We start from the raw sequence: 25555 nt of genomic DNA on the forward strand, positions 1-25555 counted from the left end.
CTAAATTTGGGTCATGTTAGCATTGATGGAGTTCTATTTGGGAATGAACAAAGGAATGAAACTAAAAAAGGGTGGAGAAAACCTGATGAGAAAATGTTTCTTATGTAAATAGAGAATAGACCAGGAACTAACTGATAGGTGGGAAGTAGGCAGTATAGAGTGTACTGATAGAGGCATATCCATAGAGTTCTTGAATGAATTATCCCTTTTAATTGTCTTCATTTTAGTGGTAAGATTAATCAGATTAATAATGAACAGGAACAAAGGACATACAAATATTAGCTGTGAATAAAAAGAAAAAAAACTGAAGGCAAAATGTAGAAATGTTATTCCATTTGAGGTGGCATTAAAAACCTTAATAAAACATTTGTATACGTGTTGTATTAAAGTAATATTCATTTAGTATTCTTGTAAATGTTACTTTAATTAAAAAATTATAAAGTGTCCATTTACATATCCTTGGTAAATGTTCTTACTATTCCTGTTCTGTTTGATTGATTCTAGCTTGCCATAACACATTTTTGAAACGTGTTGAGAATAAATTATTTATATTTTTGTATATACACTTTTTTAGGTAAAAGTTTATTTTTAAGTTATTTTTTAAAATTTTTGTGGTTACATAGTAGATGTATGTATTTATGGGGTACATGAGATATTTTTATATAGGCATGCAATGTGAAATAACCACATCATGGAGAGTGGGGTATCCCTCCACTCAAGCATTTATTCTTTGAGTTATAAACAATTTAATTACACTCTAAGTTATTTTAAAAAGTACAGTTAAGTTCTTATTGACTCTAGTCACCCTATTGTACTATCAAATAGTAGGTCTTATTCATTCCCTCTATTTTTTTTGTACCCATTAACCATCCCCACCTTCCCTCCAGCCCTTCACTATTCTTCCAAACCTCTGGTAACCATCCTTCTACTTTCTGTGTTTATTAGTTCAATTGTTTTGATTTTAAGATCCCACAAATAAGTGAGAACATGTGATGTGTGTCTTCCTGTGCCTGGATTATTTCACTTCGCATAATGATCTCCAGTTCCATGCATGTTGTTGCAAATGACTGGGTCTCACTCTTTTTTATGGCTAATAGTACTCCGTTGTGTGTATGTACCACATTTTCTTTTTTTTAATGTTTATTTTAGGTTCAGGAATACCTGTGAAGGTTTGTAACCTAGGTAAACTCATGTGACTGGGATTTGTTATACAGATTATTTCGTCACCCAGGAATTAAGCCCAGTACCCAATAATAATCTTTTCTGCTTCTCTTTCTCCTCCCACCTCCCCACTCAAGTATATCCCAATGTCTGTTGTTTACTTTTTTGTGTTCATAAGTTCTCATCATTTAGCTCCTACTTATAAGTGAGAATATGTGGTATTTGGTTTTCTGTTCTTGCATTGGTTTGCTGAGGATAATAGCCTCCAGCCTCCCACAAAAGACACAATCTCATCGTTTTTTATGGCTGCATAATATTCCGTGGTGTATATGTATCACTTTTTTTTAATCCATTTCTGTCATCGATGGGCATGTATGTTGATTCTATGTCTTTGCTATTGTGAATAGCGCTGCAATGAACAGACACGTGCATGTGTCTTTATAATAAAACAGATTATATTCCGTTGGTTATATACCCAGTACTGGGATTGCTGGGTCAAATGGTAGTTCTGCTTTTCGCTCTTTGAGGAATCACCAAACTGTTTTACACAATGGTTGAACTAATTTACACTCTGCCCAACAGTGTATAAGTGTTCCCTTTTCTCCGCAACCTCACCAGCATGTTATTTATTTATTTATTTTTTGCTTTCTAGTAATAGCCATTCTGACTGGTGTGAGATGGTATCTCATTGTGGTTTTGATTTGGTTTCTCTAATGATCAGTGATATTGAGCTTTTTTCATATGCTTGTTGGCCACATGTCTGTCTTCTTTTGAAAAGTGTCTGTTCAGGTCCTTTGCTCAGTTTTTAATGGAGTGGTTTGTTTTTTTCTTGTAAATTTGCTTAAGTTCCTTATAGATATTTGATATTACCTTTATCAAATGCATAGTTTGTGAATATTTTCTCCCATTCTGTAGGTTGTCTGTTTATGCTGTTGATAGTTTCTTTTGCTGTGCAGAAGCTCTTAAATTTAATTAGATTCCACTTGTCAATTTTTGCTTTTGTTGCGATTGCCTTTGGTGTCTTTGTCATGAAATCTTTGCCCGTTCCTATGTCCAGGATGGTATTGACTAGGTTGTCTTCCAGGATTTTAATAGTTTTGGGTTTTCCATTTAAGTCTTTAATCCATCCTGAGTTGAGTTTAGTATATGGTGTAAGGAGGGGGTCCAGCTTCAGTCTTCTGCATATGTCTAGCCAGTTATCCCAGCACCATTTATTGAATAGGGAGTCTTTTGCTCATTGCTTGTCCTTGTTAGGTTTGTCAAAGATCAGGTGGTTGTAGGTGTGAGGCCTTATTTTTGGGTTCTGTATTCTGTTCCATTGGTCTGTGTGTCTGTTCTTGTACCAGTACCATGCTGTTTTGGTTACTGTAGTCCTGTAGTATAGTATGAAGTTGGGTAATGTGATGCCTCCGGCTTTGTTCTTTTTACTTAGGAATGCCTTGGCTATTTGGGCTCCTTTTTGGTTCTATATAAATTTTAAAATAGTTTTTTTTTCTAGTTTTGTGAAGAACGTCATTGGTAGTTTGATAGGAATAGCATTGAATCTGTAAATTGCTTTGGGCATTGTGGCCATTTTAATGATATTGATTATTTTGACCCATAAGCATGGGATGTTTTTCCATTTGTATCTTTTCTGATTTTTTTTGAGCAGTGTTTTCTAATTCTCATTGTAGAGACCTTTCACCTCCCTGGTTCACTGTATTCGTAGGTATTTTATTCTTTTTGGGGCAATTGTGTACCACATTTTCTTTATCCATTCATCCATTGATGGAACTTACGTTGCTTCCAAATCTTAGCTATCGTAAACAGTGCTGTAATGAACAAGGGAGTGCAGGTATCTCTTCGATATACTGATTTCCTTTCTTTTGTGTATATACTCTGCAGTGGTATTGCGGGATCATACGGTAGCTCAAATTTTAGATTTTTGAGGACCCTCCAAATTGTTCTCCATAGTTATTGTACTAATTTACATTTCCGCCAACAATGTACGAAGGTCCCCTTTTCTCTACATCCTCACCAGTATTTATTATTGCCTGTCCTTTGGATATAAGCGATTTAAATTGGGGTGAGAGGGTATCTCATTGTAATTTCGATTTGCATTTCTCTGATGACAAATGATGTTGGGCACCTTTTCATATGCCTGTTTGCCATTGGTATGTCTTCCTTTGAGAAATGTCTTCTCAAATCTTTTTCTTATTTTTTTGATTGGATTATTAGATTTTTTTCATATATAGTTGTTTGAGCTCCTTATATATTCTGATTATTAATACCTTGTCACATGGGTAGTTTGCAAATATTTTCTTCTATTTTGTGGGTTGTCTCTTCACTTTGTTAAATGTATCCTTTGCTGTGCAGAAGCTTTTTAACTGGATGCAATCCCATTTGTCTATTTTTGCTTTGGTTGCCTATACTTGTGGGGTATTGCTCAAGAAATCTTTGCCCAGACCAATATCCTGGAGATCTTTCCCAAAGTTTTCTTGTAGCAGTTTCACAGTTCAAAGTCTTAGGTTTAAGTCTTTAATCCATTTTGATTTGATTTTTGCATATGGTGAGACATAGGAATCTAGTTTCATTCCTCTGTATATACATTTCCACCTTTCCCAGCACTCTTTATTGAAGAGATCGTCTTTTCCCCAGGGTATATTTTTGGCACCTTTGTTGAAAATGAGTTTACTGTAGGTTTGTGGATTTGTTTCTGGGTTCTCTATTCTGTTCCATTGGTGTATATGTCTGTTTTTATGCCAGTAACATGCTGTTTTGGTTCCTTATAGCTCTATAGTATAATTTGAAGTAAGGTAATAAAACTCTTCTAGTTTTGCTTTTTTGGTTAGAATAGATTTGGTTATTCTGGGTCTTTTGTGGTTCCATATAAGTTTTAGAATTTTTTCTTTTTCAGATTGTTCACTGTTGGCATATAGAAATGCTACTGATATTTGTACGTTGATTTTGTATTCTGTAACTTTACTTAATTTGTTTATCAGTTCTAACAACTTTCTTGTGGAGTCTTTATGTTTTTCCAAATATAAGATCATATCATCTGCAAACAAGGATAATTTGACTTCTCCCTTTTTAATTTGGCTGCCCTTTATATTTTTCTCTTGTCTGATTGCTCTAGCTAGGCCTTCCAGTACTATGTTGAATAACAGTGATGACAGTGGGCATCATTGTCGTGTTCCAGATCTTAAAAGAAAAGCTTTCAGTTTTTCCCCATTTAGTATGATACTAGCTGTGGGTCTGTCATATATGGCTTTTATTTTGTTGAGATATATTCCTTCTATCCCCAGTTTTTTGAGGCTTTTTACCATGAAGGGATGTTGGACTCACCAAATACTCTTCTAGCATTATTTGAAATGATTACATAGTTTTTATTCTTTATTCTGTTGACATGATGTGTCAAAACGATTGATTTGTATATGCTGAACCAGCCTTGCATCCCAGCGATAAATCCCATTTGGTCATGTTGATCTTTCTAATGTATTCCTGAATTTGTTTTGATAGTATTTTGCTGAGGATTTTTGCATCAAATTCATAGGAGATATTGGATTGTAGTTTTCATTTTTTGATGTGTTTTTGTCTGGTTTTGGTATCAGGTTAATACTGGCCTCATAAATTCAGTTTGGAAGTATTCCCTCCTCTTCTATTTTTCGGAATAGTTTGAGTAGTATTGGGTTTCGTTCTTTTTAAAATGTTTGGTAGAATTTATCAGTGAAGGCTTCACGTCCCAAGCTTTTCTTCACTGGGGGAATTTTTATTACTGCTTCAATATCATTACTTGTTATTGAACTGTTCAGGTTTTGGATTTCTTTCTGTTTCAATCTTGGTATGTATGTATCTAGGAATTTGTTCATTTCTTTTAGATTTTCCAATTTATTGCCATATAGTTGCTCATAGTAGCCATGAATGATCCTTTGAATTTCTGCAGTATCCATTGTAATGTCTCCTTTTTTCATTGCTAATTGTATTTATTGGGATTTTCTCTCTTTTTTTCTTAATTAGTCTGGCTAAAGGTTTGTCAGTTTTGTTTAACAAATCAATTTTTTTGTTTTATAGATCTTTTGTTTTCTAAAATTTCAATTTTATTTCTTTCCCAATTTTCATTATTTATTTTCCTCTACTAATTTTGAGTTTGATTTGCTCTTGCTTTTTAAATTCTTTTAGGTGTAATGTTAGATAGTTTATTTGAAGTTTTTCTTCTTTTTTGATGTACGCACTTACAGCTATAAACTTGCCTCTTATTATTGCTTTTGCTGAATCCCATAGTTTTGGTATTTTGTGGTTCTATTATTTGTTTCAGTACAATTTTAGTTTGCTTCTTAATTTCTTTATTGACCCACTGGTCGTTCAGGAGTATATTGCTTAATTTCCATGTATTTGTATAGTTTCCAAAATTCTTCTTGATATTAATTTCTAGTTTTATTCCATTGTAGTCAGAGAAGATGTTTGATATTATTTCAAGTTTTTTGAATGTTTTAAGACATGTTTTGTGATTTAACATATGGTCTGTCCTTGAGAATGATCCATGTGCTGAGGAAAATAATGTGTATCCCGCAGCTCTTGGATGAAATATTCTACAATTGTCTATTAGATCCATTTGGTCTAAAGTGCAGATTAAGTCTGATGTTTCATTTTGGATTTTCTGTCTGGAAGATCTGTGCAATGTTGAAAGTAAGGTGTTGAAATCTTATTATTCAATTTGGGTTTATCTCTCTGTTTAGCTCTAATCATATTTTCTTTATATGGCTGGATGCTCCATTATTGGGTGCACAGTTATTTACAATTGTTTTATCCTCTTGCTGAATTGACCCCTTTATCATTATATAGTGACCTTCCTTGTCTCTTTTTATAGATTTTGTCTTGAGATTTATTTTGTCTGATATAAATATAGTGACTCCCTTGCTTCTTTGGTTTCCATTGACATGGAATATTTTTTCCTATCCCTTTAGCTTCAGTCTTTGTGTGTATTTATAGGTGAAGTGTGTTTCTTGTGGGCAACGGATCAATGGGTCTTGTTTTTTCATCCATTCAAACACTCTATGTGTTTTGATCAGAGAGTTTAGTCTATTTACATTCAGTGTTCTTGATAAGGACTTCTGCCATTTTGTTATTTGTTTTCTTGTCTTTTTTTTCCTTCCTTTCTTCGTCTAGTAAGGTGACTTTCTCGGTGATATAATTCAGTTTTTTGCTTTTTATTTTTTGTGTCTCTTTTGCATGTCTTTTGGTTTGAGTTTACCATGAGCTTTGCAAATACTATCTTATAACCCATTATTTTAAGCTGAAAAAACTACACTTTGCATTAAAAAAAGACAACTAATAAAAACCCTATGCCGTAACTTTGTCCCCTTGCTTTTTAACCTTTTGTTTTTTCTATTTATATTTTATTGTACTGACTATGTCTTGAAATGTTGTGTTATTGTTTTTCATTGGTTCGTTGTTTAGTCTTTTCACTTAGGATAATAGTAGTTTACACACCACATTTACAGTGTTACAATATTCTGTGTTTTTTTGTGTGCTTATTATTACCAGTGCATTTTGTACCTTCCAAACCCTTACTTATTGTTCTTTAATGTCCTTTTCTTTCTGATTGAAGTATTCCCTTTAGCATTGCTTATAAGATAGGTCTGATGTTGATAAAATCCCTCAGCTTTTGTTTGTCTGGGAAAGTCTTTAATTCTCCTTTGTGTTTGAAGGATATTTTTACTGGATATACTATTCTATGGTAAAAGCATTTTTCCTTCAGCCCTTTAAATATGTTCTGCCACTTTCTCCCGGCCTGTAAGGTTTCCACTGAATAGTCTGTTGCCTGACATATTGCAGCTCCATTTTATGTCATTTTTTCCTCTTACTGCTTTTAGGATCCTTTCTTTTTCCTTTGGGAGTTTGATTATTAAATGCATTGAGATAGTCTTCTTTGTGTTACATTGGCTTGGTGTTCTATAACATTCTTGTACTTGTATATTGATATCTTTCTCTAGGTTTGAGACATTCTCCATTATCTTTTTGAATAAACTTTCTACACTTATCTCTACCCCTGTCTTCTCTTTAAGGCCAGTAGCTCTTAGACTTGCCCTTTTAATGCTGTTTTCTAGATCCAGTAGGTATGCTTCATTGTTTCGTATTCTCTTTTTTTGTCTCCTCTGTGTATTTTCAAATAGCCTGTCTTCAAGCTCACTGTCTTTCTTCTGCTTGATCGATTGCATTTTCAACTCAAAAATTTGTGCTTGATTATTTTCAATTGTTTTAATTTCTTTGTTAAATGTATCTGATAGAATTCTGAATTCCTTCTTTGCATTATCTTGAATTTCTTTGGGTTTCCTCAACACGGCTATTTTGAATTCTCTATGTTAATGGTCACATACCTGTTTCTCCACAATTGGTCCATGGTGCCTTATTTAGTTCATTTGGTGAAGTCATGTTTTCCTGGATGATGTTGATGCTAATAGATGTTCTTTGATGTGTGGGTGTTGAAGAGTTAGGTATTTGTTGTAGTCTTCACTGGGCTTATTTGTCCATCCCAAGAAGGATGGCTTTCCAGGCACTTGAAAAGACTTGGGTGTTGTGATCTAAGCTGTGTCTGCTTCAAGGGCACCCCAAGTCTAGTACTGCTGTGGTTCTTGCAGACTCGTAGAGGTACTGCCTTGATGGTCTTCGACAAGATCTGGGAGAATTTTCTGGATTACCAGGCACAGACTCTTGTTCTTTTCTCTTACTTTTTCCCAAACAAAAAGCATCTCTCTCTCTCTGTCTGTTCTGAGCCACCTAAAGCTGGGGGTGGAGTGACACAAGCACCCCTGTTGCCACTACCGCTATGACTGCACTGGGTCAGATCTGAAGTCATCACAGCACTGGTTCTTACCCAATTTCGGCTGTAACAACTCCCTGGCTACTGTCTCTGTTCGCTTAAGGCCCTAGGGTTCTACATTCAACGGGTGACAAAGCCAGCATGACTTGTGTTCTTCCCTTCAGGACGGCAAGGTCCTCTTGGCCTAGTGTGGGCCCAGAGGTGCTGTCAGGGATTCAGGTACTACAGTCAAAACCCTTAGAAGTCTACCTGGTGTTCTATTGTATTGTGGCTGAGCTGGCCCTCAAATCACAAGACTTAGTCTTTCCCATTCTTTTTGCCCCTTTGCCAATGCAAAGGAGGCTCACTCCATAGCTGCTGCCACCCTAGGCCACAAGGAGGACTGCCAGACTACTGTTGATGTTCTCTTAAGTCCCAAGGACTCTTTAGTCAGCTTGTCGTTGTTAACCCAAAATATCTGAGACAGGTCTCAGTCAATTTAGAAAGTTTATTTTGCCAAGGCTAAGCATGCGCCTGTGACACAGCTTCAGGAGGTCCTGATGACATGTGCCCAAGGTGATAAGGGCAGAGCTTGGTTTTCTACATTTTAGGGAGACGTGAGACCTCAATCAATATATTTAAGAGGTACATTGGTTCAGTCCAGAAAGGCAGGACAACTTGAAGTAGGGAGGGGACTTCCAGATCATAGCTAGGTAAGAGACAAAGGGTTGCATTCTTTTGAATTTCTGATCAGCCTGTTCAAAGGAGGCAATCAGATATGCATCTATCTAAGTGAGCAGAGAGATGACTTTGAATAGAATGGGAGGCTGGTTGGCCCTATGCAGCTCCCAGCTTGACTTTTCCTTTTAGTTTAATGATTTTGGGGCCCCAAGATTTATTTTCTTTTCACATGGTGAATGGTTCCCTATCCTGCTGTAGCTGAGCTGGTATTCTAAATGCAAGACAAAGTCCTTTCCACTCTTCCCTCTCCTCTCCTCAAGTGGAAGGAAAGGGGTGTCTCTCAGAACCAGGAGCCATGCAGCCTGGGGTTATGGGAGGGGTGATGCCAGCACTCCTTTGGCTGTCCCAGTTGGTCTCTCAGTGTGTCATGCCCATGCCTTCCCCCGCAACCACCCCCAGTCCATGTCTCTGGGCCTAGTTCAGCAGTAGGACTTGCCTAAGTGTTGCAGTCTTTATGGCCTAGATTGCCTTTCAAGGTTACTTAGAGACTGAGAGCACTTTGGCCCTCAGTGGTGAGGTTTGCTGATGGCTCAAGTTTGGACAGCTGGGATTGGGGATTCCCCTCTTACTAGGGCTGGTTTAAATGCGCCCTCTATGGGCAGCTGTAAGACGAGTTTGGTCTGGGATTTGTCTGCTCTAACATGACAGCACTGAGTTCAGTGCCTCACAATTGCTGTGTTCTCCCTCTCCCAGCACCCAGAGATGCTCTCTGACCCACATGCTGCTGTTGCTGCTGGGGGATTGGGGAAGGGTAGCATTAGCAATTCAGGACTTTTTTCTATCTCTTCGGTGTCTCTTTCAGTGATATGAAGTTAAAATTAGATACTATGAGTGCTCACTTGATGTTTGGTTCTTATGAAGGTTTTTTTTCTGTGTAGATAGTTGTTAACTTGCATAGCTTTCTATTCGGCTACCTTGCTTTGCCTTGAGAATGAGGTTTTTTTAAAAGGATTAAAATTTGCCTTTGGGTACACGTGTGAAGTTCTTATTGTATTCAGTACTAACTAAGTTCGCATTTCAGGGAGTAATTTGAACAACTGCATTCGAGGTTATTTAATGAACATTACAATTTGAATTCAAGAACACCAGCATGCCATTTTTGTTACTTTTGTAATTAAGTAAAGTTTAAGTATTTACTACAACCCTTTTGTCTAAAACTATATCTGAAAGTTTAAATTACTATCAAGGTTTATAGTTTATATAGTGCTTTCACATATACTGGCTCATTAAATCTGATCCTTAGAAGTGTCTGTTTTTATAATTTTGTGGTGAAATTTCTAAATTTTTATAAATAAATGGCTGATTACAACAAGGCATGTTTGGAGATCACTTAATCTCATTTAGACTTTTTTTTACTCAATGTTAAATCAGCATCATCCATTGTGATAATGAAGCCGATAATGCTTCTAGGAAGTAATAGTATCTCATGGTCTGCAGCAGTTCTCAGGCTGCAAGGTGTATTCACACACTATCTGAGGTTATTCTCACAACAATCCTATGAGGCAGGTCACCCCATCTGAAATGTAAGTGAGAAAATGGAAATGTAGGCAAGTAAAATGAATTACCTGAGGCCTCACAGTCTATTACAGGCAGAGCCAATTCTTGAATCTAAGTCTTCTGTTGTGCCTCCTCTGGTACATTATCCTCTCTATGCTGTCTCTTGAATGATGGGCTTGAGCAAACAAATTTAATTAGGTGGTGGATTGTTCTATATAGTAAGGGAATTATGGAAAATCTAGTGGTGGGAATTAGGGATAAACAAAGTAGAAGAAGAGAGAAGCACTACACAGGAATTTCACTGTAATTTCTTTAAGGTGCATGTCCTGATAGGAAATACTGCCTTTTAATGATAGTGTCTTCAGAAATACACTAACAAAGATCCCTTGAATGGAGACTCAATTCCACATGCATTTACAGAAAGGTTTTGGGAATCAACAAAAACTTAATAGTTTGAAAGAAAAAGTAAAAGGACTTATAATTCAAGAAAGTGTTTAGAGACAACAGCATAATATTGAAGCATAAAATTTAAGTATAAAACTGGGATCCAGTTACTAGGAAAATATGAATTGTCCCTTGTGTCCAAAATACTATGCTAGGATCTGTGGATGCTTTCAGAAAGATTTTAATCTTATTGTAGAGAAAACATATACACATATAAAAAAGATTATCATTCATTCATTTACTCATCAAATAGTTATCGGGTGTACTCTGTGTCAGGCACTCTTCTAGGTGCTTGGGATACATCTATTAAAAAGAAACAGGCAAAGACCTCTTCCGTTGAAAAAGAGATTATATTCTAGTGTATGGTATTGTGGATGTGGGAAGACAATAAACAATATGCATACCAAAGTAGGAAATTATATTACATGTTAGAAGTGGTAAGTGCTATGGAAAAATAGAGCAAGTAGAGCAAAGTAAGGGTATGGGAGGATTGGAGTCAGTTACAGTTTTAAATAGGATGGGCATTGTAGGCTTCATTAAGTATGTGAGATTTGTTCACAGTCTTGAAAGGGAGAGGAGTTAGGCAAGTAGAATCTGGGGAAAGTGTCTCAAACTGAGAGAACAGTTGGACCAGAAGCCAGGAGCATACCTGGAAGGTTTGAGGAATGTTAAGAAGCCTTCAAGAGTGAATGAGGGGAGAGTGTTCATAATGGAGTAGGAAAGAGATCATAATGGTAATATTGGGGAGTTGGCCACATGGATCCTTTTAGGCCATTTTGAAGACTTTGGTTTTTTCCTGAATGAAATGGATTATTGCAGTGTTTTAAGCAGGAGTATAAGAGGATCTGACTTAGATTTTGAAAGGATTGCTCTGGCTAGGTTGAGAATAGGCTCATATAAGGCAAAGGTAGAAGCAGGATGCTATTGCAGTGAACAATGAGAGAGATGGCAATGGCTTAGACCATAGTGGTAGAGTAGAGGTGATAACAATTGGTCAGAGTCTGGATAGGTTTTGAAGGTAGAACCAACAGCACTTCATGATGAATTAGATGCTGGGTGTGAGAGAAAGAAAAGAGTCACGAACAACTCCAGGAATTTGGCATATACAACTGGGAGGCTGAAGTTTCCTTCATTTAGTTGGGGGGGAAGGTGGAGGTAGAGTAGGTCAGGTGGCAGAGTTCAAGAGTACAGTTGTTTTTTTTTTTTTTTTTTTTTGAGACAGGGTCTTGCTCTGTCATCCAGGCTGGAGTGCAGTGGCATGATCATCGCTAACTGTAGCCTTGAATTCCCGAGCTCAAGCGATCATACTGCCTCAGCCTCCTGAGTAGCTGGGACTACAGGCAAACATCACCATGGCCAGGTAATTTAAATAATTTATTTTTTAGAGACCTGAGTCTCACTATGTTGCCCAGGCTGTTCTTGAACTTCTGGCCTCAAGCGATCCTCCTGCCTTCACCTCCCAAAGTGGTGGGATCACAGGTGTTAGCCACCATGCCCAGCCTATTTTTAAAAATCTCCCTATGTAGATTGTAATATTCTTGATCTCAGATACTATGGTTGATGATCTTTGTATTCTCCATAGGACAGAGCCTTTTGCCCATAGTTGATGGTCAGCAAACATTTGTAGAATAAATATTGAACTAAGAAACTTCTGTGATGAGGTGTGAAGATAAATGTAGTCTTTATGGGATCAGTATGCAAACTATTAGACATAAATTATAAGCATGTTTGAAAAGCTTTCTTCAATTCTTTTCTTTTTCTTTTTAGAGACAGGTTCTTGCTGTGTTGCCCAGGCTGGAGTGCAGTGGCATGATCCATCATAGTTCCTTGCAGCCTTGAACTCCTGGGCTCAAGTTATACTCCTGCCTCAGCCCCCTGAGCAGCTAGGACTACAGGTACATGCCACCATCCCCAGTTAATTATTTTTAATTTTTTTGTGTAGAGAAAGAGGTCTTGCTATTTTGCCCAAGCTGATCTTGAACTCCTGGGCTCAAGTGATTCTCCCACCTCAGCCTCCAAAAGCACTGGGATTACAGGTGTAAACCACCATGCCCAGTGTCTTTTACCTCTTTAAGTAGAGATGTAGAGTAGGCATTAGATATACAAGTTCAGTGCTTGGGATAGATGTCTGGACAGGAGATATATGCTTAGGAGAGGAATGACTGTAAATAGAAAAGAGTAGAGTTTCAAGGACTGAGTCCTGGGTCACACTGGCCTAAAGAGATCAGAGAGAAGAGGAGGAATCAGCAAAGAGCCTGACAAAGAACATCCAGTGAGATAAGAGGAAAAGTAAGAGAGAATTATGTTCTGAAAGCTAATCAAAAACAACATATCCACAATGAGGGAATAATCAGCTGTGTCAAATGCTGTTAATAAGTCACATGAGAATTGGCAATTGGATGTGGCAATGAAAGTCAATGGTAATCTCTATGAGAAAAGTTTTGATAGAGAAGTGGGAATGAAAAGTTTGAGTGGCATGTGTTTAAGAAAGAATAAGAGGAGAGGAAGTGGAGTATCAACAACTCTTTCCAGGGATTTGCTGCAAAGATAGCAAATAACTTAGGGTTGGCAGGAAGTAGTGTGAAAACAGTGGATGTGAGGGGAGGGGGTCATGAGGTTATTTTTTTATCATGGTGGAAGACATAACAGCATATGCTATTAGGAATAATCAAGTAAAAATGAAATTAATGTTGTGTGACAGAAGAGTATTGCTGAAGTGATATTCCTGAATAGGAAAGAGTGGATGGGATCCGATGTACAAGTAGAAGTATCTTCCTTTAGACAGAAGCAAGATTAGTGCATCTACATTAACAGGTGGGAAGGCAGAGTATATAGATGGAGATTCTAGTTGATACAGTATTGGGTCGCTGTGGAAGTCCTCTTCTAATTGTTTCAATTTTCTCAATGAAGTGGGCAACAAGGTCATCATTTCAAAGTGAGGATTGGAAAGGAGGTATTGCTGTGAAATAGCTATCTGGGTAAGTATTAGAGTAAATTATTAAAAAAACTTTAGTATGATTGCCAGGCAACATTAAGTGCCCATTAAGGTCGTGGTCATAAATTCAAAATGGTCAATGTGATTGTGTGTTTTAATTTCACCACGTAAAGCTGTGTCAGTACTGGTGCAAAGTAGGCAAATAATAGTATTTAATTAGAATTGTGGTTTTGCTAAGCAGTATGAGTATAACAAAGCAAGAGGGGCAGAAGAATTGAGGGTTTATGCAAAAGGTGATGTAGTGAATGAGAATACATTTTAAATCATTTAGGTAGAAAGAAGATATCAAGGAGGTGAGAGGCAGTGATGGTATTTTCAATGAACTGGAATTCCAAGAAGGGGCCAAAGGATTGTTGGAGTACTAGAAGGAATGAATAAAAGAGATATTGGTGGTCAGAGAGTAGGATGCACCAAATTAAGAATATGGAAGAGTTGCAGTTATTGGTAATTAAAAAGGTTAGGATATGGGCTTGAGTGACTGAAGCGCAGAGGACAAGACCCTTGGAGGAGAGGAGGTCAAGAAACTGAAAGGCTAGAGTGTTGGTAATATCCTCCACGTGTGCATTGTTTATTGAAGTTGCTAAGGATTAAGAGAGGGTCAATGTATCTAAAATTTTGTACTATATATAATAATACTATCAGATTTTACGTTGTTAAACAATGATTCTTAATTTCTAAAATTTAAAAATTAAAGTTGTTGGAATTAAGAACTCTGAGAACTTGACTGAAGGTATTGTTTTCAAACTAATCCACATTCACCATGATATGAAGGTTTGAATATTTATGCTAATAATCTCTGATTTGTCATGGGCATGCTGTGCTTCAGTGAAGCTGTCTGAAGAATATTGTGAAAATAACATTTTCCAAATAATTGAATATATTTGCTTTACATCATTTAGTGTTAACATTATTTTCCAATGGAAGACTGTAATTTATTATAAACTGATTTCATACTGGCAATGTTATTGGTGTGTTTGTTGATCTTATTAGTACGTCATATATTCAGGAAGAGTAAATTAAGTTCTCACTCTTGTTTTAGCACATTACTATTTTAAAGTTTTTGGTTTTAATTTTCGTGGCTACATATTAGGTGTGTAATGGGGTACATGAGGCATTTTGATACAGGCGTACAATGGATAATAATCACATCAGAGTAAATGGGGTATCCATCACCTCAAGCATATGTCCTTTCTTTGTGTTACAAATAATCCGATTATACTTTCTTAGTTAATCTGAAATGTACAATAAATTATTGTTGACTGTAGTCACCCTGTGGCAGCACATAACTATCTTATAAAGAGTACTACAAATCTGTTAGATACAGTGAAGAACTTAGAAATAGTCATGATCCTTTACTCATAGATGCTTCATAATGCATTCAAAGTGGCAGAAACCAAATCAGTATATATTTTTGACACCTGCTGTTTTCTGAGTCATTCATTATTAACCTCACATGGAAGCTACTTAAACAGCTCTTGCTGTAGTCACCACTTCTCACAGCTAGTCTTTGACTACTCTTGGGATTTCTGTGACCTTAGAGGTTTGGTGATGAAGAAATAGTTAAGCTTTAAATCAGGTTCTCATGTGAAATCATTGCAGAGCAAAGTTGAGAAGTTGGCTATCTCAATCTTGACTCCTTGCTGATTACCTAGGAAACAAATTTTCTCTGGTGGGGCTTGTCCAGTCATTCACCTGGCATCTTAATAGAGTATTTGGAAAGGAGGTTTTGGTCAGCATTTGCAGACTCCCATTAGATCCTATCACTGATTCTGAGTGAATTTTAATTTCTGCAGCTGGAGAATAGTGAGGGAAGCCATATGTAGTAACATCTGCTATTAAGACTCTTGTTTAGGGAGAAAGAAGGCAGTTTTATTGTTAAAATTTTAGTTTTGTGGGATTGATTTAAGAAATCTTGTTTCCCTTCTTTATCTAGCATTGAAAAGCGATATATGTATGCACTAAACACGGGGTTATCTCAATCAGGATAGGTTGTCCTAAGTGTTGTAGAAAGACTGTTTGAGGCACTATGACCCTGACCTCTACTATACAAAAGCAAAGTAAAACAAACAAACAAACAAAAAAACAAAGTACTCATCCTTCCTGATATTTGAAATCCGATGACATTAGAACTTCAAATGAATATTTTATCAAGGAAGAATCATTGGCAGGTTTGTTAAAACTGAATGGAAGTGCACTGATGTAATTGCCTGAGGAAACTGTTATCAGAAAATGTGAGGTTGTGATTCCTTTCTAGGAGTAATTGCCCTACTCAAGCTTTTGCTCAGAACAACCATCTTTAAAGATCTAGCTGAAGTCTTATCTTCTCTATCAAGACTTCTCTCATGGTGCGTGGTTGATCCCTTGCTTCTGTGAACTTTTATCTGCAGACAGCCTATCTCTTTTTTTGTATAAATTGTTAGGATTTAAAGTGTTTATGTTTTCTCTCTCCGAAAACTAGCTTGTAAATTCTTCAACTTCAGGAACAGTTTGATATGTCATTTTATCATTCACAGTGCCAAACATAGTACATGGATGTAAGTACTGAAAATGCTTTCAGTTTGTTGGTTTGACAGTGTAACTATGATTTATTATAATTAAATGTATTTATTCTGGGAAGTGTTCATATTTTAAGAAAATCTATTGCTATACTTTAAGGGTATGTCAGAATAACATACCCCTAAATAGAAGCCTAGAAAATTACTGTTTTGTCTCAGGCACAGTTGTTCTGATATTAATGCTTTCTACTTTCTAGATGTATGACCATCTAAGCCTCAGTTTTTTCATCTAAAAATGGGAATAATATTAGCTACATAAATCATGAGGTTTTTAAGATTAATAAGCCTCATGTACATAAAGTGCTTGACACAATAAGATCATAGAACATTAGCTCTTATTTCTGAAATTGGTGCTCACACCAAGAAATGTGAACACACACATATATGTACATTCATAACACAAGAAAAAGAGCAAATTGCAGAATAAAATGAAACAGTTTTCAGAAATGTTTGCAACCAAGACTAAATTAACTGGTTGACTGAATGACACTGTGTGCACTTCATTTTCTAGGAAATTCTTGTATGTTGACTTTCTAGGCTGATATGGCAGCTGGTAGGCCATTTATTACTAGTTCTGTTGTGGAAAATTCAGTCTTGTGTGTCATTTAGAGTTTGTGACACATGTACCCTCCCAAGGCTTAATGAGTTGTCTGCAGATGGACCGTTATTTATTACAGTCATGTAGAATAAAATTGATTGTCTTCTAAAATTAATTTTTCATTTGCCTCCAGCCTTGCTTTAATAGGGCACACACAGTTGCCTGTTTGCAGAAATACTGTTTAATCACATTAATATCTCAGCCCCCCAGGCTGAAGAAGATAGTTGTATGAACGAACAGCAAAATCTGTATCTTTACCTTCTTTTTATGATTAAATTATGCAAATAACTTATCTCCTGCCCTTCTAAGCACTAATCATCTAATTAGGAATGATGTGTTAAAGCAATGGTTTTGAATCAGGAGAGAGAAGAATGCAGGAAGCAGAAAATGGGAGCTAACAATGAAACCACTGAAGGTACAGTAATGTGTAGTAGATGAATCTATGTATTTGACACAAGAAGAGGTGGGAAGGCTAATACGTACTATCCATATACCTGACACATGTCATCTATTGGCAGGAAATATAATTCCTTATCTCTGATGACAAGTTTTTTGATATTAACTTCACATTTTTAGTAAGGCAAATGTTATATTTCCTGCATTTTTGAGCACTCAAGGAAAGTAGGATATTTATTATCTCACCCAATGAAGGAGCTGGCTTGCTCTTTTAATCCATGCAGGATAATATACGGTAAAGCAATGAGATTGCACCTTGATTGTGAACATACACTAAGTTGTTCAGACTATTCCTTTAAAGAAAAGATTGCTTAACGAAAAGCAGTCCTTTCTTTTTTCCTGAGAAATTAATCAGTCAGGACATGCAAACCCAGAACAAATATAGTCCCCTTACTGAGGGATTCAGGATTCAGTTCCAAAGCATCATTCCAAATATGTATTTGCAAGATCTTGCCTTGATTTTGTGCTTCTGCCTCCAGACACTGATTGTGAAGAGTTTTTAGCACATTAGTCCTATTTAGTTGCGGACATAATTATTACATTTAATACATATATTGTGTCTTTATCCAACATAATTATTATATTAATAGTAACCATAATAATGATAAACAATACTATTAATGTCCCCTAGCAACCATGCTAAACCGTATATATATATATATATATATATATATATATGGTTCTTATAGTAATGTGAAATAAATCATGATAAATCAGTAAATCAGGCCATAGAAATAATATAAGTTTACTGTAGATGTTTTAGAACCTCTCAAAATTTTTTCTTATGGGTACATTTGTGAGAGTCAGCAATCATAATGTTCAGGTCCTTTTAATATAGTCTTATTGATTTGAATTCAGTGCTTTAACATTTTTACAGTCAACTCTGGAGTATTTTAAAAAATATAATGCAAACCATCTCCCGAGGCATTTGAGAACAAAATTTCAAGAAATGTATCCAAAATAGAACATAAACAAAAATTTGTGGATTGGAACAGATAAATTTTCTCAAGTTCTTGAGACCAGTGCTGTCATTCTCTTAGTATTGCTAGTTTAGCTTATTCTCTTACATGTGCTGGTTCAGGCCACTAAGAAGACCCACTGATCACCACCAGCTGCTATTCTCTTGAAGTGTGGCAGACGCTTACTATATTGATGCCAGCTGGTTACAGTCATTTGTTTTACATCTTTTCTTTTTTAAGGGTAGGCATCAAACTACAGTCTATCTGTGTTTACAGGGAAAAATGCTTAATCTATTTATTTTGATAATCGAAGCCAATGAGTCTAACGTATTGAACTTTCCAAGGTTGACTTTCTGAAAATTGTTCTGGAGAATTTTTGGCACATGCATTCCTGTGGAGGATAGTTTTTTATAGATTTCTACAGTGAAGACAACATTGCCTCCATGGTTGCACCAAATTCCAAAGGGCCAAGTTAGCGTGTGGAAGTGAAGGGTGAGTCCCTTAGAACTTATTCCATTGCTACCTCATGAAGCTTTATCTCACTTTTCTCAAACTAACATGATTATTACATTTCCCCAAACATAGATGGTGCATTATCATGTCATATGATTAAAAAAACCCCTAAAGAACTGGCTATGTCCCTGTTAGATGTCATATGTCTGACTGTCTATCTATCTATCTATCTATCTATCTATCTATCTATTTTTCAAATTATACTTTAAGTTCTGGGATACATGTGCAGAACGTGAAGGTTTGTTACATAGGTCTACACATGCCATGGTGGTTTGCTGCACCCATCAACCCGTCATCTACATTAGGTATTTCTCCTAATGCTATCTCTCCCCTAGCCTCCCAACCCCCGACAGGCCCTGGTGTGTGATGTTCTCCTCCCTGTGTTCATGTGTTCTCATTGTTCAACTCCCATTTATGAGTGAAAACATGCGATGTTTGGTTTTCTGTTCCTGTGTTAGTTTGCTGAGAATGACGGTTTCCTTCTTCGTTCATGTCCCTGAAAAGGACGTGAACTCATCCTTTTTTATGGCTGCATAGTATTCCATGGTGTATATGTGCCACATTTTCTTTATCCAGTCTATCATTGATGGGCATTTGGGTTGGTTCCAAGTCTTTGCTATTGTGAACAGTGCCGCAATAAACATACGTGTGCATGTGTCTATATAGTAGAGTGATTTATAATCCTTGGGGTATATACCCAGTAATGGGATTGCTGGGTCAAATGGTATTTCTGGTTCTAGATTCTTGAGGAATCACCACACTGTCTTCCACAATGGTTGAATTCATTTACACTCCCACCAACAGTGTAAAAATGTTCTATTTTTCCACATCCTCTCCAGCATCTGTTGTTTTCTGACTTTGTAATGGTCACCATTCTAACTGGTGTGAGATGGTATCTCATTGTGGTTTTGATTTGCATTTCTCTAATGACCAGTGATGATGAGCTTTTTTTCATATGTTCATTGGCCTCATAAATGTCTTCTTTTAAGAAGTGTCTGTTCATGTCCTTCACCCACTTTTTGATGGGGTTGTTTGTTTTTTTCTTGCAAATTTGTTTAAGTTCCTTGTAGATTCTGGATATTAGCTCTTTGTCAGATGGACAGATTGCAAAAATTTTCTCCCATTCTGTAGGTTGCCTGTTCACTCTGATGATCATTTCTTTGGCTGTGCAGAAGGTCTTTAGTTTAATTAGATCCAGTTTGTCAATTTTGGCTTTTGTTGCCATTGCTTTTGGTGTTTTAGTCATGAAGTCTTTGCCCATGCCTATGTCCTGAATGGTATTGCCTAGGTTTTCTTATAGGATTTTTATGGTTTTAGGTTTTACATTTAAGTCTTTAATCCATCTTGAGTTAATTTTTGTATAAGGTGTAAGGAAGGGGTCCAGTTTCAGTTTTCTGCATATGGCTAGCCAGTTTTCCCAACACCATTTATTAAGTAGGGAATCCTTTCCCCATTGCTTGTTTTTGTCAGGTTTGTCAAAGATCAGATGGCTGTAGATGTGTGGCATTATTTCTGAGGCCTCTGTTCTGTTCCGTTGGTCTACATATCTGTTTTGGTACCAGTACCATGCTGTCTTGGCCTTGTAGTATAGTTTGAAGTCAGGTAGCGTGATGCTTCCAGCTTTGTTCTTTTTGCTTCAAATTTTCTTGGCTATACGGGCTCATTTTTGGTTCCATATGAAATTTAAAGTAGTTTTTCCTAATTCTGTGAAGAAAGTCATTGGTAGCTTGATGGGGTAGCATTGAATCTATAAATTACTTTGGTCAGTATGGCCATTTTCACGATATTGATACTTTCTATCCATGAGATGGAATGTTTTTCCATTTGTTTGTGTCCTCTTTTATTTCATTGAGCAGTGGTTTGTAGTTCTCCTAGAAGAGGTCGTCTGCATGCCTTATAAGTTGTATTCCTAGATATTTTATTCTTTTTGTAGCAATTGTGAATGGGAGTTCACTCATGACTTGGTTCTTTGTTTCTCTATTATTGGTGTATAGGAATACCTGTGATTTTTGCACATTGTGATTTTGTATCCTGAGACTTTGCTGAAGTTGCTTATCAGCTTAAGGAGATTTGGGGCTGAGATGATGGGGTTTTCTAAATGTACAATCATGTCATCTGCAAACAGAGACAATTTGACTTCTTCTCTTCCTATTTGAATCCCCTTTATTTCTTTCTCTTGCCTGATTGCCCTGGCCACAACTTCCAATACTATGTTGATAGGAGTGGTGAGAGAGGGCATCCTTGACTTGTGCTGGTTTTCAAAGGGAATGCTTCCAGCTTTTGCCCATTCAGTGTGATATTGGCTGTGGGTTTGTCATAAATAGCTCTTATTATTTTGAGATACGTTGTGAATACCTAATTTATTGAGAGTGTTTAGCATGACAGTGTGTTGAATTTTATCAAAGGCCTTTTCTGCATCTACTAAGATAATCATGTGGTTTTTGTCATTGGTTCTGTTTATGTGATGGATTACATTTATTAATTTGCATATGTTGAACCAGCCTTGCATCCCAGGGATGAAGCTGACTTGATTGTGGTGGATAAGCTTTTGGATGTGCTGCTGGATTCGGTTTGACGGTATTTTATTGAGGATTTTTGCATTGGTGTTCATCAGGGATATTGGCCTGAAATTTTCCTTTTTTGTTGTGTCTCTGCCGGGTTTTGGTATCAGGATGATGCTGGCCTCATAAAATGAATTAGGGAGGAGTCCCTCTTTTTCTATTGTTTGGAATAGTTTCAGAAGGAATGGTACCAGCTCCTCTTTGTACCTCTGGTATAATTCGGGTGTGAATCCGTCCGGTCTTGGGCTTTTTTTGGTTGGTAGGCTATTAATTACTGCCTCAATTTCAGAACTTGTTATTGCTCTGTTCAAGGATTTGACTTCTTCCTGGTTTAGACTTGGGAGGGTGTATGTGTCCAGGAATTTATCTATTTCTTCTGGATTTTCCAGTTTATTTGCATGGAGGTGTTTATAATAGTCTCTGATGGTAGTTTGTATTTCTGTGGGATCAGTGGTGATATCCCTTTTATCATTTTTTATTGTGTCTATTAGATTTTTCTCTATTTTCTTCTTTATTAGTCTGGCTAGCAGTGTATCTATTTTGTTAATCTTTTCAAAAAACCAGCTCCTGGATTCATTGATTTTTGAAGGGTTTTTCATGTTTCTATCTCCTTCAGTTCTGCTTTTATCTTGTTATTTCTAGTCTTCTGATTTTTTTTTTTTTTTGATAGAGTTTCGCTCTGTTGCCCAGGCTGCAGTGCAGTGGTGTGATCTTGGCTCGCTGCAACTTCCGCCTCCCAGGTTCAAGGGATTCTTGTGCCTCAGCCTCCCGAGTAGCTGGAATTACAGGTACATGCCACCATGCCTGGCTAATTTTTGTATTTTTTGGTAGAGACAGGGTTTCACCGTGTTGGCCGGGCTGGTCTTGAACTGTTGGCCTCAAGTGATCTGCCCACCTCGACCTCCCAAAGTGCTAGGATTACAGGAGACATCCTTTTGTTTTTAAAGGAGCCAAAGAAGAGTTTGAATATATGGGAATAGTAGTAATCAATTTTATAAACTCTGGCTTTAATAAGTTTTCCACAACATGTCATTTGTACATGGTGATAGAACTTGATATACAAACTCATTTTTCTTACTTTATAATGGTAAAATGAATATTTTTATTATTTATTATTTACACAAAATATTTTAAAAGATCTGTGTTAATTGGTTGAGATAGTCCCCAGATCTCTGATTCAGTTACACCATCGAGTGCTACCAATATCACTTGAGTTCTTAAAGCACTTCTACAGAATCTGAGGGCTACCGGACACAGATTTTAAAACACAACATGGAACAATTAAGTGCTTTATAAGTATTATCAAGAAAGTTGGACAATAATTTGAATCTTTTTTTTTCTTTATTCAAAGGCTAGAATAAAGGATACATAAAACAATCTGATTATCCATCAAATAGGGGATTAGGTACCCTTTATGCAAGAGGCTTATCTTCTCTGAGAATTGAAAACAAACTCAGAGAAATATATCATCTGTTGTTGCATTATAGGTAGAATTATGGCATCACTTTCTTAAAATTCCAAATTTTTACTGTTGAACTTTTAATATACTTCCAAAGGACTTAGTGGAACAGGAAATATGGAATATTAACCTGCACCTGTTTTATCTTTCTCTTTAATAATAGGGAATGGTGAGTGATCTTTTGAAAAACCTAAGGTTATCATGCATATTTGGCAACTTGCATACGTCAAATCTTGTAAATGATCCAGTGGCAACAATATATGCCTATCTGTAGGCAAGGTTCTCAGTTTCTTCAGAATATAGGGCAGCAAAGAAATAGCTTTGCTCAGTTCTCTTATTCCTGTTACTTTTGCTTTTCTCCAGCCCTTTATTCCATGTAGGGGTAGGGAATCTTAATGAGATGGGACAGGGGCTAACTTCAGGCTGTAATTTCTAGGTAATTAGTTTAAGAGGTTGAGGCAGGAGAAGAATATGCCTTTTAGTTTGCTAAAGGGTCTGATTCCTTACCCTATACATGCTTTACCTTCTGGCCTACTCAGTTCTCTGGAATCTTACTGTTAGTTAATATCAGTTTGCTGGTAGTGATTTTTCTGTCTTTTTTGTAGATGCTTTTGAAGTTTACTCATTTTCTAGTAAACTATCTAGAGTGACATTTATTAAATATAGGCATTATGTAGCCTTTCATACATGATTCATATATAATGGTTACCAAATAAATGTTAAATAATTTTCTAACATTATTTAGTTTAAAAACCTGATTTATTACATTGTATTCGTTACTGTGTCTATAACTAAACATAGACATGGCTTTTATACTGAAATGAAAATCTGTAAAATTCTCAGAAAAATAGAAGCCTGCCATCTTTATATAGGGTTTAAAGTTATAATAATAATTTCTATTGAGCATCATTAATGCCCAGACACTGTAGCTGGGACTTTCCATTCATTGCTCAATTTAGTCCTCACAAAACCTTACAAGTTATTTATTGCTAGTATCTTTTTATAGTTGAGAAAACTGAACCTCAGGGAAATTAGGTAAATTGCCCATGCAGAGCCAGGAATTCTCTGACACCAAACTGATGCTCTTTCTACTGTAAAATCCTATACTAACCAAACTAATATGTTTACTAAAAATCTATACATTAAGCCATCATTGGATTGGGCTTTAGGAAAGGATATTTGAGATAACAACATAAAATTAAAATTATGTACTTCAGGGAAGAATATAGTACACATCTTGAACATGGGTATAAACGTTTGCATTTCAGGGAGATGATAGTATTGGCAAATGCCAGTTTTCTTCAGATCTACTTTCATCAGACTCTGACTATAAAATGAAATAGTGATTGTCATATTGTATAATGAATATGAATTTATTTTGAAAGTCACTTATTTATTGAACTTATCAATAAACATTCCAAAAATGAAGAATATTATTTCAGGGGAAATAGAATCATTGAGCCTACCATTGTTCTGTTTCCCTTGTCTACTGCCTTTAAATGATAAAATGGAGTTTTGAAGACAGGTAGTAACAATCCTCTAAAAAATAATTAAGGCTGTTGAATGTTAAGTAGGACGTTTATAAAGAGCTATAAAGTGGAAAAAGTCTTACATCTCGGCTGCACAGGATTTAATTATGCAAAATGCTGTGAATTCAAGGAGAATGAGAGATGAGTTTTCACATAATATTGCAAGAGAAGTACATTGGAAAAAGAAAGGAGTAATGAGAATCCATACAAGCTGGGGTCCAGACCCCAGACAAAGGTATACAATATGTCAATCAATTAACATTTTTCTAATAATAGTGGTGATCTAAATTTTAGGCCATATGTGGACTTTCTTCTTTATACATATATTTTCATGACACCTTTGTCAGGTTGGTACTATTTCATTTTGCAGATGGAGAAACCTAGTCTCATAATAACTAAATGTCTTATTAAAGTCAAATTGGCAATTTGGGTAGAAAAGAAACGGGAATTTATTTACTTTGAGTCTTCTAGTCATTGGATAATGTTTCCTATAATATTATTTTATTGCCATATAACTCAGTTTTCTTTGTGATCTTGAAATAGCTTAACAGTAGTTAATGAAGTATTACAGATATATAGGATGACAAAATTTAATGAGAGATATTATATGAGTGGAGTGAGATAGATATTTAACTGGATATTGAGAAAATATGGTTAGAGGTGTCACCTACTTGAAGATTATAATTGAACGCCACCAGAGGAAATTGTTAGCACGGCACAAACCACTATTAGAGTGCACAGAGAAAGGTTTAGATATAATCTCTATTTCAATAACTTATTTTATAATATAGAAACTGTAATATATTTTAGTTGAGCTATAATTTCTATTCAATAATTACAAATAAGGTAGCTTGCTATCTGACTTAGTTTTTTTTTTTTTTTTTCGAGATGGAGTCTCACTCTGTCACCCAGGCTAGAGGACAGTGGTGGGATCCCAGCTCACTGCAACCTCTGCCTCCCAGATTCAAGTGATCCTCGTGTCTCAGTCTCATGAGTAGCTGGGGGTACAGGTGTGTGCCACCACGCCCAGCTAATGTTTGTATTTTTGAATTTTTAGTAGAGACAGGGTTTCGCCGTGTTGGCCAGGCTGGTCTCAAATTCCTGGCCTCAAGTGATCTGCCCACCTTAGCCTCCCAAAGCGCTGAGATTACAGGCCTGAGCCATCAAGCCCAGCCCTGACTTAGATTTTATTTTTTTAAACACTTCTACAAAACTTTTCCTCCAATTTGAGACTATGAAGGTACCAGAATGTATCTAAGTCTGAGATTCCACTATAAGAAAGGAGGAACCTCTAGGACATAGAATGTCA

General features: G+C 36.3%; 1 protein-coding gene across 7 annotated transcripts in view; it reads left to right on the forward strand.

The window, feature by feature from the left end:
- The window catches only part of DACH2 (dachshund family transcription factor 2), a 684152-nt gene that overhangs the window by 13854 nt on the left and 644743 nt on the right, over window positions 1–25555 (forward strand). The window lies entirely within an intron of this gene.

The sequence above is a fragment of the Homo sapiens genome, chromosome X (assembly GCF_000001405.40).
Source record: "Homo sapiens chromosome X, GRCh38.p14 Primary Assembly".
Taxonomy (NCBI): domain Eukaryota; kingdom Metazoa; phylum Chordata; class Mammalia; order Primates; family Hominidae; genus Homo; species Homo sapiens.